Source organism: Homo sapiens, chromosome 9 (genome assembly GCF_000001405.40).
Source record: "Homo sapiens chromosome 9, GRCh38.p14 Primary Assembly".
Lineage (NCBI taxonomy): Eukaryota > Metazoa > Chordata > Mammalia > Primates > Hominidae > Homo > Homo sapiens.
In genome coordinates, this window is record NC_000009.12 from 68,333,294 (window position 1) to 68,352,932 (window position 19,639).

A 19,639-nucleotide genomic window follows, 5' to 3' on the forward strand; every position below is an offset into this window, starting at 1 on the left:
CAACACTCAGCTTACTCAAGGGACCAATTCTAGCAGCCTTCGAAGGAGTCTGAAAAAGGTAGCCTTGAATTAGTTTCCAGGTGAAAAATATTTGTCCCAATTGAAGCAAGTACTACTAGTGACTGCCTCTGCTATGGAAGAAGGGGTTACCCGCTTGCCCGTGAGCAACAGGATTTCTTGGGGTTGATTTTGCAGGAACATGTACCTCCATGTGGCCAAACAAGCAGGCTTGCTTAGATTTGCACCACAGGATATTAAAGTGGAAAGGAATCTTAAACATCTAATTGAGGGATGGCAAATTGGGTTCATTGTAAGGGTCACCTCTGACCCTTTGGTTGTGGCTGCTAGGAGCATTGGGTGGGAAGAATTCCGTAGTTTTTTCCAGAGAGAGACAGCCACGCTTCATTAGAGAGTCTAGTGGGCATGGAAGGGAGGGGGTGAGTTGTTGTGCCTGTAACAGGATTTTGCCATCCCTAGTTCTAATCCAACACTTTGAGAGCTGAGGCTCAGCTCCACAAGTGATTTATAGAGGTCCTTCCTTTATTGCTTTTATGTCACCACATCTAGAATTAGGTCTTCTGCTTCCAAGAAAGTCAGCTGCCTCATTACCATGTAGCATAGTTAGATTCCCCATTTCATCTAGAAAATAAACATTTATTGAGGGCTGGCCAAGTGCGGTGGCTCACGCCTGTAATCCCCGCATTTTGGGAGGCCAAGGTGGATGGATCATTTGAGGTCAGGAGTTCGAGACCAGCCTGGCCAACATGGTGAAACCCTGTTTCTACTAAAAATACAAAAATTAGCCAGAAATCCCTTGAACCCAGGAGACGGAGGTTGCAGCGAGCCAAGATCGCACCACTGCACTCCAGCCTGGGCGGAAGAGAGAGATTCCGTCTCAAAAAATAAAATAAATAAATAAATAAATTCACAAAAATATTTATTGAGGGCCCACTTGGTTTTTAGCACTGAAATAGGAGCCGAACATAGAGCAGTGAATGAATAGGCCAAGTCCCTGCTCTTCTTGGCCTTACATTTTGGGGGAGGAGACAGATTAGTAATTATTAGGAGAATTATTAGTAATTATTAGGAGAAAGCAGGAAATTTCTGCTTTCATGGGTGGGATACCAGAAGGTAAATCATTATGAAAGGATATTTTGGGACAAGTTTCTATAGCATAGATGTATTTTAGGATGATTGGGGCTGTGTGTTGTGAGCACGGGATCTCTGAGGCAGTCAAAGGGCACCAGGAACCTCATCTCTTAAGACATGCATGCACCGTAGGCTGCCGTTTGTGTCCCTCACTTTGGCCAAGCTCCCTTCTTCATCATGGCCTTTGCACTTGCTGTTCTCTGTCTGGGGAAGAATGCTCTTTCCCTAGAGATCCAAATGGCTCACTCCTTCAGTGTCTTCAAATCTCTGTCAAATATCACCTAAACAGAGAGGCTTTCCCTGGCCTCTAGAGGACAAAGTAGCACATTTTCTCACCCACTTACCCTGCTCATCCTTCTTTATAGCACCCCTCACCACCTGCTGTATTATTTGCTTATCGTTCAGCTTTCTCTCTAAAATGGAAGATCTATGAGAACAAGAACCTGTCTGCTCATTGAGGTGTTACTCCAGAAAAATGTCTGGCCCATGGCAGGTGCTTAATCAACAATTTTTGAAGGAAAAGTGGAGGAAAAAAAGATAGGAGAAAGCAAACTCATGAAGAAGAGTGCTTGGGTGGGGTGGGAGGAGAAGAGGGCAATGGATCCAGGCCCTACAGGGATTCACTGTTCAAGCAGAAAGTCCAGGGAAAGCCACATGGCCTCCTTCAATCGGACGAGCTGGAGCTGCTGACATCCCCTGCAACCTGGGAGCCAGTGCATGCAATGCTCCAGCTGGGTCTAAGGACAGAAGGAGGCTAATGAACAGCCACCTTCGGAGCAACAGGGTCACTTCAGTCCTCCCTGTTTACTTCCAAGCTGCTGGGAGTCTTATGCACATTTCCTCTTCTCACTTGCCTCTTCACATCCCTAGCTGCCGCAGGAATTTATGGCTTAATTAAAGTGGGAAGCAGGGTTTATATATGTTTATATAAAGTTATATTTTCCTCCACCTCTTTGTTGGAAGAAAACTCAAATGTTAAAATTCTTAGGAGCCCAGGAGTTCGAGACTAGCCTGGGAAACATTGCAACCCCATCTCTACAAAGAATAAAAAAATTAGCTGGGAGTGGTGGTCCCAGCTACTTGGGAGGCTGAGGCAGGAGAATCATTTGAGCCCAGGAGGTTGAGGCTGCAGTGAGCCATGTTAGTGCCATTGCACTCCAGCCTGGGTGACAGAGTGAGATCTTGTTTAAAAATAAAGAAAGAAAGAAACACCTAGAAAGGACACTAGAGATAAATCTAGTTCATGCTCCTTGTTTTCTGTGGGAGGACACTGAGGTCCAGGGTCACACAACTCACAAATGGCCAGCCTACGGAAACCCTGTAAGAGGCACAGTGTGAGGAAAAGGCAGGCACTTGTGATAACCCCACTGGTGGGCAGGAGCTAAGCCTCCATAGGTGGGGAAGGGAATTAACCCCAGGACACAGGCTCCAGTCTGGGGGCTTGAGATGTTCAGGGGACGCCAGTTAGAACTAAGGCAGGAGGCCAAGGCAGAAGCTGTGCTCCTCTGCCTGGATGTATGAGGGCAGCAGAGGAAGAAGAGTTGGCAAAGCAGCCCAGAAACACATGAAGAGGAGGAGTGAATGTAAGTAGAGCATGCCAGAGATGGCAGATCAAGGCAGGGAGTTAAATTGAAGGAGGAGGCGGCTGCGGCCAAGGGTGCACAGTGATTCAAAGTTACAGTTGGTTATGGGCTGAGGAAACAGCTTTCTGTTTCACTGCTGTGAGAGGCAACCAGGTTGCAAGGAAAGGAGGGGAAGAGGGAGGCGTTAACATGGAGGAGTGAATGTAGACAGAACCTTCCAGATGTTGGCTGAAGATAGAAAGGAGAGGGAGGAGGGGTTCTGGAGGGAGAAAGAAGTTAAAGAGTATTTTTTTATATGGGGAGATATGGGAGTTTTGGGTTTTATTTTTGGCTTGTGAGAATGAGCTAATCTTGTATAAAGGGATTAAAGATTTTTAAAAAAATTTATCTCTGAGCCTTAGGTCTTTCAACTTTAAAACGAAGATCAAAAATCTATGTCTTTGGCTTATGAGGATTAAAATGTGAAAACACATTACTCCAGTGCCTGGCACATTATAAACACATAATACATGGTAGCTATTTTAAATATTTTATTATAAACTTATGTAGTGCTCATCTGGAGGCCTAGGAAAGTGTTATTGAAAGTATTTTAAATCTTAGTATCTTATATTTATCATTTATAGGGTATAGTAGATTAAGAAATACTTCACGTATTTTGAAAGATTGGGCTGGAAACATACCCGAAGAAGCATTCTTTTTATCTCTCATGTACATGTGGACATTATACATTTTAATTAAGTGTTATTATATGAGCCAAATTCCCTCCTCATGGGTGTTAGTAGGAGTTGACCTCGAAGGAGGGAGGATTTGGTTGTGGATTTATGACTCACATCTGCGAAAGGAGTAAGGGCGAATAAGAACAGGAAACTCTCTGATAAGCAATTTTACTATGTTTTCATTTTTATCTGAAACTCTGTAATCCAAGACTGGGGTAACTTTTCATATTTTTTAAAAATACTTTTTTATAGGCTGGAGTGATCTTGTGTAAGCAAGGATAAATCATAGATGTTAGAGAGACGTTTGTCTCTGTGCTGTTTGGTGCAAATTCCATGAAAAAGAGCCAAGGCAGGGGGTGGGGGTGGTTGTCAGGAAACCAAGGGATGAGATGTTTTTCTTTTTCAAAGATGACACCTATGATGCCAACTAGTGAGCATGGGCGAACAGAGCGGAAAGGAATTCGTTACAGTCCTAAAGAGGGATAAATGCATCTGGTGTCAGATTAACTCCAGCGAACAGCCTCACTCAGTCCTAAATACTGACTCAAAAGCATGTTGATTTCAGTGTGAGAAACAGATGTGTAAAGGTGACTTCTCATGAGGTAAAATATAAAGCAACATGCCTAGGTCTTAAAATCATGATGTTGAGTGCAACTATAAGAAAAAAATGGGCTTACTGATATAATGTTATTATGTAATTTAAAGCCACATTTGCATATCAAACAACCTTGCCTATTTCTACAGAGAGAGTTGTTTTTTCTTTTTTTTTTTTTCTTGTGACAGGGTCTCACTCTGTTGCCCAGCCTGGAGTGCAGTGGCACCATCTCAGCTTACTGCAGTCTTGACCTCCCAGGCCCAAGTGATCCTCCCACCTCAGCCTCCCGAGTAGCTAGGATTACAGGCACAGGCCACCATACCTGGCTAAATTTTTTTGTTTTTTATTTTTAGTAAAGATGAAATCTTACTATGTTGCCTAGGCTGATCTCAAACTCCTGGGCTCAAGTGATAGACCCACCTCCATCTCCCAAAGTGCTGAGATTACAGCCACCGCGCCCCCGGCCAAGATATAAAGTTTAAGGACACATATCAAACATACTAGAGAGGTTGCTGATGGGATAGGGAGGATGAGTGTGAGCATCACAGACAAGGGAAAAAGCAAAATGAGACAGCGGCTTTGCCCAGATGGACAATGAAAATGTGCTATGAGTTAAAGAGCATGATTTTTAAAAGGAGAGAAATCTTTTAGTCATTGGTCTTCTCTTTGTTCTGGCTTAATGAATCTGCTGCAAAGGCAAATAGCTTTCAGGCAAACTTGCTGTCCTAGTGGTAACATTGGCTTCAAGGACTCCTCGAGCGGTTTGGGATGGCTTCCTGAGGGTGACAAAGAGGAGCTGTGTTTTCAGCCAAATATCAGAACCAGGGCCACTGCCTGCCGCCAAACCCCAGCGGGCACCCCTACTTTGTGTTTATCTGTGGTGGCTACGCTTGCCCACCTGGGTGGGAACCCCGAGAATGACTCCAGACTTTTCCAGGGACTGCATGCCAGGGTATTTTTACAATTTATGTGTAGACTTTGTTCAGGTGGAAAAGTTATTTTATGAAGACGAAACAAGCAACTGGGGTACCTACCTTATGGCATTTTTTACATTGAGAGTGTTAAAAATACCCCTCCCTTAACCAAAACCCTGACAAATAGAGCCAGGGAAGGCCATGCAAAAAAGGATTCTTGGGCTTGTATGCCTGATAACAAAAAATTATCACAGAAGACTGCAAAAAACACAATCTTGCACAAAGCCCATTGCAACTTTGCACACAACAATGCTTCTGAAGGATATTTGCCCAACAACTGCCTGTCCAACCTGGGCCTGGCATCACCTTTGTTATTGATCTTTGTAGCCAAGGATAATCATTTCCAAATGATCATATAATCTTCCTCATTTTTTCTTTTGTCTTCCTTTACCTCCGTGAATATGCATATAGTTTACTCTGGCTTGCCTATTGCTATTGCAAGGCTCTGTTTCCAAACGAATATCTTTTTCTTGTGGAGAGCCTCTCTCTGTTTGTTATTTAGGTTGATAAGAGAAATGTGAACATTTGAGAGCTCAGGTAAAAGGCCTTAGTCTACAGTGAAACTTTTTTGCACCCTTAGAGGCTTACTTCCACTACAACTTGCAGGTGGGCCTTGAAAAGTTCTTGGAATAAGTTTGAGCTTTGATCTTGTCCGGTTCATTTAGCATAGATTCTCAAAATGTGGTCCCTGGACCCACAGCATTAGCATCGCCTGGAGATTGTTAGAAATGCAAATCATCGGGCCTCATTCCAGACCCTCAGCTGGAAACTCTAGGGGCATGGCCAGACCCCCTGTAGCTGAACAAGCCATCCAGGTGGTTTTGATGCAGCTAAAGTTCTGGAACAACTAATGTAGCCCCATTTGGAAAACTTGGCTGTACAGGCCTCCCTAGCTGGTAAGCTGCTAGCATTTTTTGTTTGTTTGTTTGTTTGTTTGTTTGTTTTGATACAGGGTCTTGCTCTGTTGACCAGACCGTGACCTCCTGGGTTCAAGCGAGGACTCAGCCTCCTGAGTAGCCGGGACTACAGGTATGTGCTACCACTATGCCCAACTACTTTTTGTATTTTTTTTTTTTGTAGGGATGGGGTTTTAGCCCAGGCTAGTCTCAAACTCCTGGACTCAAGCAATCTGCCCACTTTGGCCTCACAAAGTGCTGGGATTATAGGCATGAGCCACTGTGCCCGGCCCTGCCAGCTTTGTATAAGCTGAGGAGTTTTTAAAAATACCTAGACTCAGGGCAAACCCCAGACACTTAAATCAGATTCTCTGGGAGGTGAAGCCCAGGCACTGGTATTTTTAAAGTCTCTACAGATGGTTCTAATGTGCTGCTAAGTTAGAGAACTGCTGATCTAGACCAGGCCTTTTCAAACTTAATGTGCACGTGAATTACCTGGACCTTGTTAAAATGCAGATTCAGTCTGCATAGGCCTGGGGTGGAGCCTGAGCTTCTGCATTTTTAACAAGTCTCTAGAGGATGCTGCTGCATCTGGGCTGCTAACTACACTTGGAGAGAGGAGGTTCTGGAGAGCAGAGGAAGGAGCATGAACCATAACCTAGGGGCTGGTAGTCCTGACTTCCGAGCCAAGGTTTGCCTTTATGTGGCTGGCAACTTGCTTGGACTCCTACCTCAATTCTTTGGGCCCAAGGTTTGTCCTGCCTCAGAAGGATGTCAAGAAAATTGAGTAATGCAGAATTGTTTCTTAAAGTGTGTGCAGATGCTCCATGAATTTAGAGAGTATGTGGATGCACATTACTAAATTTTAATAGTTGTGAACATGTTGTTATGAGTACTTAGAACAAGTAATAATGGCTTTTGATGTATAGTAGTAAAAAAGCTTCCTTTTAAAAGGCATGTATTTAAGTTTCAAAAGTGGGGCTATTTAAAAATATATGAAATAAATAATAGTAGAGGTAATTGACAGAGCAAAATTATGAAGGCAGGATGAGAATGACTCAAGTTTGGGAAATGCTGAGAAAGCAGATGCCCAAGGGCTATGAAAACTTAAAAAAATAGGTAGCACTTGATTTTGATTGGCTGAATGAGATGATGTGTTCGATCATTTATGGGGTTGGCATTTGGCAACATGCACTGGGTGGCTGGGATCACTGTTTATTAAAAAATATTTGAGTCTCTACTTTGCACTTGATACTCTTTTAGTCTCTTGGAAAAGGGATTGGGGGGGCAGGCAGGATAAAAACAAATCATTTATGCCCACAAGAAAATTGCAGGAAGATAAAAGTCATGAAATAAACTCTGTGCTTCTAATTTAATATTTTTTTATAGATTATGAGAAAAAAGTTTTGCTCACTATCAGCTAGGAAAGCTGTCTTAGCACAACCATTCATTCTTGCACAAATCAAAATCAAGACGAGCCAGATTTAATTTAATATTTTTTTACAGATTGTGAGAAAAAAGTTCTAATTTAATTTTTTTATAGATTATGAGAAAAAAGTTTTGCTCACTATCAGCTAGGAAAGCTGTCTTAGCACAACCATTCATTCTTGCACAAATCAAAATCAAGATGAGCCAGAAGGCTCCATTCTGACAGCTTCTAATGGAGAAGCTACATTTACTGGACATGGGGAAAGTTGCTGGGCTCTAAGGACTGTGCTCATTTCTTGAACTAGATAAATGGTCTTGGTGTAGCATAATACCAAAACTTCTTGTCGCAGCCCGTAAGGACAGAACTCAATCAGCCTGAAAAGGAAGTCAGTGACTCCGACTCAACACAGGAATGTTCTGTGATTCCTAAAGAAGGATGTAGGAGTGTGGCACAATTCAACCACAGTCTGTGGCCCTGTGCCTCTGCCTTGACATGAGTGGGATATCCCAGCTGGTCATTTTCTTCTTATCTAAGACATTGGGAACAAATTACTTGACCTCCTCTGGGCTTCAGTACTCCCACTCATCAAATTAGAGGACTGGGCAATCGCTAGGCTCTCTTTAGGCATCATATTTTAGTTTCTGTGATTTTAAATTTGAGAAGGGGTGTCTAAGGGAGAATACATAGGGGAGGGGGAAAGGCTTATTAAAAGTGTAGTTAGGCACTGAATTTTTAAGAATTGCATTTTGTAATAATACCTTTACCTAATCAGGACTGACAATCTTACCTGATGATAGCACCTGGAGGAATGGCTGCATTCAAAAATAAAAATGAAATAAAACAAGACCTTATTTGAACTTAGCAATAATGCTGATTCCTCTTTTTGATTTGAGGAGGTTATAGCTGTTGTAAATGCTTGAATTGGGTCTGCCCAGGCAAAACGGAGTCAAGAGTCCATGTCTGATGAATTTTAACAATGTAGACAATAAAAAGGGTTGCTTAAACTGCCCCTCTTTTACCAAAACACATTTACAAATGAAAGAACAACACTTCCATTTTTTAAAAACATTTTTTGAGATGAAGTCTTGCTTTGTCACCCAGAGTGGAGTGCAGTGGTGCAATCTTGGCTCACTGCAAACTTTGCCTCCCGGGTTCAAGTGATTCTCCTGCCTCATCCTCCCGAGTAGCTGGGACTACAGGCGCCCACCACCATTCCTAGCTAATTTTTGTATTTTTAGTACAGACAGGGTTTCACCATGTTGGCCAGGCTGGTCTCGAACTCCTGACCCCAGGTGATCCGCCGACCTCGGCCTCCGAAAGTGCTGGGATTACAGGCGTGAGCCAACACGCGTGGCCAAAAAATTTCCATTTTTAATTGCAGGGTCTGGGGAATTAAAATGCATCCATAATTTCTTGCATCTCTCCGCTCGGGCTTGCATGAATGCAGAGGGATGGGGAGGACTTCTTGAGGCAAGCATCCCCCTCTTGTCGCCTGCCATCTGGAGAGAGAGGGCTGTGATTTATCTCACTTTAATCAGGAAGGACCCGATGGGTGGATGGAGAGGTCTGATGGCTTTGTTGCTCCATGTGGGAAAGAAACGGACAGAGTGAATTTGTGTATGATCCCTAAGGAGAAAGCGTCTTTGTGCTCTATTTCTTTTTGACCTGGAGCCCCTGAAAGCAAGCTAGTTACAAGTTGAAATAGGCCGTTTCTAAAGTGTGATTTTGTTTGTGTATGAGCCTTGATTACAAAGGGGAAAAAAACCCGCTTAATTTACATACACCAGATGTAGTGCAGGATCCCCTGGGCTATCTTTTCAGGTATCAGGAAACTTTGATGAAAGTCACTTGTCTCATCTAGGAGTCATTTCATATTGTTTAGCAGAGCCTGGTATTAACATTTCCTTCCAACTGTTTACTGGAATCTGTGTGTTCCCTTCAAGTGATGCATACTAGGTGCACAGGCTTCCTGCCACTGTCATCCTAATCTTTCCGTGCAGACAGGAGCAGAGGGGAGAGCGCTGAGCCAGGCCCCAGCTTGCTTTTCTTTCCTGACTCAGCCCGGCTCCGCTGCACTTCTCAGCTCTTGCTGTAGGTGGTGCTGTTTGACCATTTTCTTCATGTGACCCTCCACTCGGTAATATAAATTCATTCGGAGGATGACCTGATATCAAAAAAAATTCCTTTTGATTAGTAGAATCAACTTATTTCTTCACACGATACTCTTCCCACTGAGACACATGGAGACAATTCTGACTCCAGGTTTGCAACCTTGAGATTTCTCTCAGATGCAATAAAAAACAAAAAAGCATTTTGAGTGGCACAGTGATGCCTAGTGCATGATCATGTTTGTCTGCTCAAACATAAAAGGGAAACTGGTGGGTTTGAGGATGCCCAGCAGCACGACAGCTGCCAATGTAAATGAGCGGTGTAGAGAGAGAGGGGGCGGGAGGGGACTACAAACTTCAGAATATGAGCTGATCGTTTATAAGTTAAAAAAAAAAAAAAAAAAGTCAAAAGGGAGCCCAGGATGGTGCAGGAAAAAGGAGAAGGGAAGATTTCCTTGCAGCTAATCAGGAGAGTTCATAAGGGCTGATTACATGTGTGGAAGCCTTCAGTTCTTTTTTTTAAAAATGTGAAAGTTTGCATGTATGTATGTATGTATAGCTTCGTGTATTACCATTATTATTGCAATCAGCAAATGGATTTACTTCCTTTATCTCATGGGCTCCTTCCCACTCACTTCTGGCAGCCCTTTTTCCTTTCTCCTTCATCCCAGAACACCAAAGAACAGATGCGCTTCCTAACCCTGGCTCCAGGGGACTTTATACAATGTAAACAGTGCACCTCTAAAGTGGTTCACCGCTTAGAGAACATGTGTCCCATTTTAAAACTGTGACTCCTTTATATTTTGCAGTGCTTATTTTAATAAGAGACATTGGACTTGTGACTTATTTTTCATGGAGGAGTGAGCTTAATGGTTGAAAGTAATCGATAAACTTGTTTTTCCTCTGATGCCATCAGCCAAGATCCTATGGCAATAGTAAGAGGATGACACTGGGCTGGCACCCCCTCCATAACATATTTGGACCATTTTTTTCTCCCAGAATGCACATGCAATAGCTTTGGTTTGGTAAGAGAGAGATGGTGTACTTGGTTTCCTTCTGTCACACTTTTGGTGAAATGAATCAGACTTTTAAATCAGGAAATTCAGCGAGATGAGTTAGATTTTTACACAAGAGCAGTGGAGGACTTCCAGCTGGTTGGGGGAATGATACGGAAATATCTTGCTAAATCAGGGTCTGGTGGAATGCTGCTCCCCTGGCAGGCTCCTCTTCACAGGGAGCAATCTGTGGGTTGCTTATAGAACAGAGCGAGCAGGAGGCATAGCATGGTCTTGCTCGTGGGAAGACCCGGTGTTCAGATGTTTGTCATTAGGAACTGGGTGTGGGCTTTTTCAAGTTAAACTGAAGCGGCAGTTCTATTAGGAAGAGCCTCCCAGATCAGCATCTTCTGTTTCTGGATACTCTCCCTTTGAAAAGCCAGATTTCAGCAAAAAGCTTTCCTAATGGTGAAATTGCACAACTGAAACCCTATGGGAGCAATGGGAAAGATGGAGAAAGAGGTGGTTATATCATGTACTTCAACAGTTTATTTAGAGGCTGTTGACATTAGAATAACAAGCCAAGACAAACAAAAATACTCATTTTGGATGAAAATATTGTCTTTTCATGTTATTATAGATAGCTGAGTCCTAAGACTTATACAGAAACACATTTTCCTAATGAGTGGCTGATTTTTCTGGTTGTGCAAGTAATATCCAAATTATTGTACAAATTTTTGGCTCAGGAGCAAACATTGTATTGCATATTGAGCTAATCACTTGCCCTTTCTAAGGTAAGCCCTTACCTCTGCTTTCCCTTCATCTTGTCATTTCTGTTTGTTGGGTACAGGTTTCCTGTTGGTTCTTTCTGTTGGCTCTGATGTAACATGAATGAAGTTCTTAACATCCTTTCAGACATAAACACAACTTAGCTCATTGTTTCTGAGTTCATATAGAGGTTTTCTTGCCCCTGAGACTTTCGTGTCAGACAGCTGGATGTTGCTGTGTTCAAGGCTCTATATGTTGATTTTGTATCCTACAACTTTACTGATTTCACCTATCAGTTCAGTTCTAACAGTTTTCAAATTTTATTTATTTGTTTTTGTTTTTTAAATATTGTATGTTTCATTTTAGAGTCAGGAGGGTAGATGTACAGGTTTCTTACACAGGTATATTGCATGGTGCTGAGGTTTGGGCTTCTAATGATCCCACCACCCAAGCAGTGAGCATAGTAATCGACAGGTAGTTTTTCAACCCTTGCTCCCACCATCCTTCCCTCCCACCTTTGGAGTCCCCCAGTGTCTATTGTTCCCTTCTTTGTGTTGAGTTCTAACCTTTTTTTAGTGAAGTTTGTAGGGTTTTCTATATATAACAAGATCATGCTGTCAGTAGAGACAATTTCATTTCTTCCTTTCCTATTAGGATGCCTTTTATTTCTTTCTATTGCCTAATTACCCTGAGAAGTGGTGTCCGTGGGCATCCTTGTCTTGTTCCTGATGGTAGAGGAAAAGTTTCAACTTTTCACCATTGATTATGGTGTTAGCTATGGGTTTGTCATATATGGCCTTTATTTTGTTGGGATACAGTCCCTCAATACGTGATCTGTTGGGTGTTTTTTTTTCACCATGAAAGTGTTTCGAAGTTTGTCAAAAGCTTTTTCTATATCTATTGAGATGGCCATATAGTTTCTATCCTTTATTTTTCTAATATGGTATATTATATGTATTGATTTGCTTATGTTGAACCATGACATCATCATGGTGAATGATTCTTTCAATGTGCTATTGAATTTGGTTTGCTAGGATTTTGTTGAGGATTTTTGCATCTATGTAGATCAAGGATATTGGCCTGTAATTTTCCTTTCTTGTAGTGTTCTTGTCTGGCTTTGGAATCAGGGTAATGCTGGCCCTGTAAGATGAGTTTGGAAGTATTCCCTCCACTTCAGCTTTTTGGAAGAGTTTGAGAAGGACTGGTATTAGTTCTTCTTAAAATATTTGGTAGAATTAATCTGGGAAGCCATCTGGTTTTGGGTTTTTCATTGATGGGAGACATTTTCTTACTGATTCAACCTCCTTGCTTGCTATTAGTCTATTCAGATTTTTTAATTTCTTCATGAGTCAATCTTGGTAGGTTTTATGTGTCTGGGAATTTATCCATTTCTTCTAGATGATCCAATTGGTTAGTGTGTAATTATACCTAGCAGTTTCTTAGGATCCTTTGTATTTCTGTGATATTGGCTATGATGTTTCATCTTTCATTTCTGATTTTATGCTATATTGAAAACATGAGGCATAGCAGGTAGGGGGCACTGGTCAGGACTTGGGGTATAAACTGGCAGATGTTAAGGTGGGTGATTCTGGTTAACTCAGAAACTCCAAAGTCCCGTGTGGAAGAATTAACTGCCTGTACTTGCCTAGTAATGTATATCCTTGGTCAAAAAAAGATCCAGCTGAGAATGTTGGATGAAGGGACCAAATCAATATTCATCATTATGTTGAAAACAAGTCAGATTGGCTGTGGTCTTTTGACAGCAGGTCAGTGGCTAAGTCTATTTGAACAAAGTTAGGGCAGGTTCAAGAGAGAATCCTGAGATCGGTATTCTTTGTTCCATACAACCTTGCCTTTCAGTTTCTTCTCCCCATGCCTCCAGGATGTCCCTGCACAGCCCGTAGGGCCCCCTCCTTCAGTACCTTGCCTTATGAAGGGGAGAAAATGAGTTTTCCAATGTTAGCATATATTGAGCCTTCCAAAATTTCTATTTTAGGGGAGCTCTAGGAAAATAGCAGATTACTCTAAATCCCCAGGTAAAAATCTGAAATGGTGGAATTTCATACGACCAGGAGACATATTTTGGGGCAAGTGGGCTTTTCACAATCACTTGGACATGAAGGCATCTGCTTCTTCTATGCCTAAAATATTCCTTCAATTTAGTAGTTTAATTCCTCTTCCTCTTTTTCAAATTTCAAGACAATACATGTAGTGACTGAACAATTTGAATCCAAGTTTCACTATTTAACTGCCAGTGTGACCTTGGGCGAGTCACTTAATCTTTTCAAGGCTCAATTTCATCATGTAAAGTGGAAGTACAAACAATCCCTGACTTACAATATTTTGACTTATGATCTTTCAACTTTAAGATAGTTTGAAAGCAATACACATTCAGCGGAAGCTGTACTTTGAGTACCCATACAACCATTCTGTTTTCCACTTTCAGTACAGTATTCATTATATTACATGAGATATTCAAAGCCCATTTTATTATAAAATGGGCTTTCTGTTAGATGATTTTGCCTAACTGTAGGTTAATGTGAGTGTTTAAGGTAGGCTGAGCTAGGCTATGATGTTTAGTAGGTTAAGTGTATTAAATGCATTTTCAGCTTACAATATTTTCATAAGTTTATTGGAATATAACCCCATTGTAAATTGAGGGGTATTTGTAATAATGATATCTCTTCAAGGAGACTTTGTGAGCCTCTCATAGGAAAATGCATACACAGATGCATATAAATATATAATCTTTCTTTTCCATACATATGATATTCTTTAAGGATATTCAAAAATCTGGAAACAGTTGCCTCCAGGGAGATAAATGGTAGTGGGTTGGGAAACTTTTAACTGTATACGCTTTTGTACCTTTTGCATTTTGAATCAGATGAATGTATAATCTACATAAAATATTAAGATTAAAACATCACCGAATAACTTATCAGGAGTTTGGTGAACATAAGGGAAGGCCACCTATGGTGGCTGTATTTTATTCAGTGTTGGTCACTGTTGGTCACTGTTGGTCACTTCATAGAGCTTATTTCATTTCATCCTCACAAGCGCCGTAGGAGGAAGGGGCCCCAGAGGGATTCATGGTTAGAATAGCAGAGTAGGAGCATTTGGCAGCTATATTCTGTGTAGGTGATAACTTAAAAAATATTTTTGTTATAAAATGTTTCAAACATACAAAAAATATAGAGAAGCAGTTTTCTATAGTTATTAAATATTCTTAATGGGTAGTCATAGAAATTATCATCCAAAGTGGGATATTCTTGAGAGAAAAAGGAGGTTCTATTTATAATTATGGTGGGATAACAAACTTAAGATGAACAGCTCTAGACAAACTGGGTTGTATGGTCCCTGGAAAACAAGGATTACTGTAAATGTGAGTCCCGCCTTGTGCTTCTCTCTGTCCCACCAAGAAAATATGATCTTGATACAGATGTTCATTGTGTCAAGGCAACCATGGCAACCATGATCTAGATACACTGTTCAAGTTTTATGCTGATCCTACCTATATATGTCTCAGGAGCTTTCCAGAGTTTCCTTTGAGTGCTTCTAAATTTTGCATAAATGGTATGCTGTCCCTTGTCTCTTTTTAAAACCCGTAAGCCATTTTCCCTTCTTTTCCTGGAAAATTAAAGGAACAAGGACCAGGAAATAACAATGTATTAGCTAAGGTTCTGTTGATTGAAAGCAACAGAACCTAATTCTGGCTAGCTTAAACCATGCTAGGATTTAATGAAGAATACTGCAGAATCTTAGATATCTTATGACTGGGAAAGAGGAGGTTCAGGTAGTTCCTAGGATGTCAGCAACAGGTAGCTGTCAATTAACTGCCCCCACACCACCCACTGCTGCCGTCATCAATATAGCACACCACAATGGCTCCCAGCCTCTGTACGTCTGGGTTCCGGTGTTCAAATTCTAGAGACAGCAAGAGAAATCCCATTGAGTCAGGGATCCTTCCCTGGGTCACCCTCCCTGCCTACGGTCAGAAATGCAGGATTATGTAGTAAAGACACAGCTAAAGAGGACCCACTTCACTGTATTGGGACCATTTGCAGGGGAGGCAAAATTGTGAGCTACGCACTTAAAGAGGTGATAACCATAAGTTTGCAGGAAAAAAAAATTGGAGAAGAGAAGGGTAACACTATGCTACGGTTTCTTCTGAAAATGGACGAAGGGAACAGCATTTCCATTTGGAAATTCTCTCCTGGCATTTCAATATTTATGGATTCTGAATTCTGAGAAAAATCAGTTGAGAAATTAGGAAAATGGGAAGGAACATTCTAATTTTCCTGTGAGAATTACAGCTTAATAGTCAGTATAGAGAACTTACTGGCTTGAAGAAATGCACTGACTTCAAGTCAAGCAAGATGAGGAAGCGCTGACATGTGGAGATGAAAGTTAAGGTGAACGGGACAGGAGCAGTAATGGAGCCTCAGTCAGACTTTCTTGTATCTGTTGCTGTGTTATAAGTGTGTGTTCATGGCCTTGTCCACTGCTAACAGTGAACCATTTCTGCAAATAAATATTAATGTGTTCATAGGCATAGTATATGTTTTACAAATCCTATGAGAGGTGTTCTAAGAAATGCCAAGTTTTAGAAACAAAATATGCCCTTAAATCAGCAATTTTGACAGTTGCTTCTTTCTAGTGCTGTTCATCTTGCCAGGAGATCAGAATGTTATGTTATTTAAATGGTATTGGAGGGGATGATTGAAGCCTTGTTTAACAATGTCATGTAAACAATGATTAAAGCATTAAGTATTTGTGGTGTTACCTTTCAATCTTTAAAGGACTTTTCTTTAGCATTTATTTTGTGATAATATTCATTTCTTTTTAATGTTTTCTCTATTAATGCTATTGGATTTTATAATCTTGTTACAATATGTTGGCTCATAATAATAAATCATCATTTGTTATCATATCTTTTTAAAACAGAAGACTACTAAACTTTTTCATGTAATCCTGTTACAGAAAAAATGACTATTTGCTTGTTATTATAGTCACTTATTATTTTTCAAAAACTTGTAAGTGAAGTGTTATGAAAATCATATGAATTTGGGAATTCCCAAGCATTCTCAGAAATTTTATTTCCTTGTTCCCAAATCCCAATGATTAATATCTGCCAGGAGTCAGAAAACAGTGAAAGGAAGTAACATCCTATGTTGGATACCTGGTAGGGTTAGTGAAGAAACGTTATTGCTGAGCTCTGTGTTACGCTCACGAATGATGCCATTGAGGAAGTCACACTTGTTGAAAGGAACGCAGATACACAAAGAGTTTTGCTGCTGTCTGTTGGATAAGAACCCCCTGGTCGATTTCAGCTCCTACTGCAAGTTAGAAAAATCAATCCAATGATAAATGAAAAGTGACCAGTGTGCTGGGAAATAACTTATTTTTTGGCTTCAGAGGAAATTTTAGAAACAGTGCCAAGTGAAACGTAAAAACAAACTACGAAGACGTTCATGAATTTCCCTCTGAAGCTGACAGCCGTATTTTAGCAGATGGAACTCCTACTATTAGCCCAACTCTTGGGTTGAAACAGTGTGTCCAGGAAACCCTATGTTAAAATGCAATGTGTTGGGGATATTGTTCCTCTTTTTGCTTGAGTTAATTTTCAAATTAGTGTACTCTTGCTTAGCTGTGCTCTGAGGGAATGAACAAAAGATTGGTAAACTCTGATGGAGAACACTGGTCAGGCAGGGCACATAGAATCCCTGGGGATGGTGGTTCCTGACAAATGGGGGAGGAGGACCTGAGCCAGGCTTGGGCTGGGCTGGAGGAACATGAAGATGGGATCTACTCACAACCCCCAAAACTGAGGGGTCCTGATAACACATTATTTCACCCTCAGCCATGCAAATTCATTATTTTTATGGATAAAATAGCTTTAAAAAACTAATTTACATTGAAATGTTAAAATATTTATATAGAGATTAGAAATATTTATATAGAGATTATTGGGAATCCCCTCCTAAAGCCCAAACATAAAAACTACCAAAAAAAAAATTCCGTGTAGGCTAAGATTGCAAATGACTGATGGAACGTAATTTAAATTAAACATGGAAAATATATTTCCTCTTTAATAAAGATCTGAATTCTATTCTTTTTAGGAGCCTTCAGAAATGAAATTCAACTATTAAAAAAAGTATAGAGAAGCCTTTAGAAAAGAAACTTTTCTTTTGCTGTATTATATAATAAAGAACTTTGATGAGAATAGTTCTAAAGTGTTTAATAATCGATTACACTGATGTTCCTAGGTATTGTGGGGAACACCTAGAAATTAAATCTTCATCTTTGGCAGATCAGAGGCCTATTATTTTTAGGTAAAACAATTAAAATCTGCTTTTAATAAATCACAAATTTTGCAAGTTAGCCATTAATAGTAAGTGCTTTCCAAAGTTGGGCCCAATACATGAAAAAGCCAGAAAAACATACCTGCATTAGTTTTGCCCATCACCTTCTTATGCTGGCCTCAGGAGATTTATTAACAGCATTCAATATTTTAGGTAGGCTGGATGTGGTGGCTCATGCATGTAATCCCAGCACTTTGGGAGGCTGAGGTGGGAGGATGGCTTGAGGCCAGGAGTTCAAGACCAGCCTGGTCAACCTAGTGAGCCCCTCGGTCTCTCTGAAAAGAAAAAAAAATTTAGGTATCCTGTGGCTACCTCCAAAAACAAGCTCCAGAGGAACTGAATTTTTTTTTTATTTCATGTGTTGGGATAATGGCTTCTTTTGCAGTTACTTACGAAGAATTTAAGGGTCAGTAAAAATATTTTTTCATCCTTAATAACATAAATTCTCTAATTTGTATGTGATATAATGCTAGATATTGTGCCAAAAGGGTTACGTAGACATAATCCATGCCCATTTTCAAAGATAATACTAATATAGAGAATAAGAATCATTATTATTGTATTAATTATTATTTTAGTAATAGTAGTAATAATCAAAACAATTACATCAAACACTTATTAAACCCTTATTATGTGACAGGTACTGTGTAAGCAATTTCCACATATTAGCTCCTTAAATGTGATCAGTAACCCCATGAGGTAGGTAGCATTATGTCCATTTTATAGATGCAGAAACTGAGCTTTGAAGAGGGAAAGCAACTTGCCCAAGGCCATGCAGGCAGTCACTGATAAGGGTGGGAAGCGAGAAGTTGAATTCTGAGATGTAAGTTCACAGACACGAGTACACAAACACGTACAAGATACTCGTATGACATGTGGGGTTGCTTGAAATATGTAATTGACTTTCCCCAGCACAAGAAAGTGTTTGGACAGATTTCAAAGGGATCTAACACCTCCTTAGAGGACTGCCCTATGACATTTTTCCATGTGCTTTTCTGCCTCTTGTCCTATACTTTTGGCATTTCTTCTGCTCTTAGAGGCAATGAGTCAACAGCATATTTTTAGCACCTCCTGTGTGCATAGAAGTGGCCCCTGACTCAATGGGAGTGTATAACTACCATGGGCCAAATCAATGTGCTTTCCTGTCAGCCAGGGGATTATAGAAGAACACGCTCCCCTGATTCCAACAGAACTTGCTGCCACTCTGATGTCTTCATGGTAAGGCCTCTAAATGAATGTTCCAGAAATTCATGTTAAAGGCACGTGTCATATGTGTAACTTGTAAACATTTGTGTACTTGTCTCTGTGTCCTTACACCTCAGGCTTCAACTCTTGTTTTTACCTTTATCAATGACTACCTGTGTGCTGTGTGGCTTTGGACCAATTGCTCACCCCCTCTAAAGCTCAGTTTCTGCATCTGTAAAATGGATATAATGCCATATATACATAGATATAGATATACATACACAAATATATATACACACATATATATGTGTGTATATACATATATATGTAATATACAAACTGAAATATATAGTTATATAAATATTTCAGTTTAAGTTTCAAAAATCACTGGAGGGTATTTTTATAATACCCTTCGGCAATTTTACCTGCTGCCTTTGCACATTCTGGTGAATTTCTAAATGGAAGTCTGATAGAGATTAATCTTTTAATGCATCATAAATAAAAAAGAAAATCACAGAATGATGTAGCTGGAGAGGACCCTGGGGATCTAAAGTGTTTCATGAAAGATTAATGTCCTTGATCTGTTTGTAAGTGTTTTGGAAAAATCTTCCATGGTCAAATAAAACTTGGCAATGTTGGATTAAAGTTAAATAGGTTTTTTTTCCTGCAGAACTTCATAGTCTTTAATATGCTAATGTGTTTTGTGAATCTACAAGGAATGAAGTGTTTCAATACTTATTTTACCCAGATTCTCATTTTGGGACAGGCTGGTCAAACTGAGTCAGCTAGTATATTCTCTAGATGGAGATGATGGCTGATGCCTTTTTGAGAGCAAGAGAGTCCCCAGGGGAAGCAAGGATATATCAGTTGCTCCTATTT

General features: G+C 40.4%; 1 long non-coding RNA gene across 3 annotated transcripts; it reads right to left on the reverse strand.

Moving 5' to 3' along the window:
* Positions 1 to 8,687: 8,687 nt before the first annotated feature.
* LOC102723624 (uncharacterized) lies at positions 8,688 to 17,850 on the reverse strand. 3 transcript variants are annotated; one of them, XR_929893.3, is made up of 3 exons: positions 17,658 to 17,850; positions 16,393 to 16,549; positions 8,688 to 9,506 (listed from the first exon to the last, which is right to left on the reverse strand). It is a non-coding gene; the product is annotated as an uncharacterized LOC102723624 (long non-coding RNA). The 3 variants fall into 3 exon arrangements; XR_428544.3 differs by lacking the exon at positions 8,688 to 9,506 and adding an exon at positions 10,552 to 10,935; XR_929894.3 differs by lacking the exon at positions 8,688 to 9,506 and adding an exon at positions 15,388 to 15,734.
* Positions 17,851 to 19,639: the final 1,789 nt, after the last annotated feature.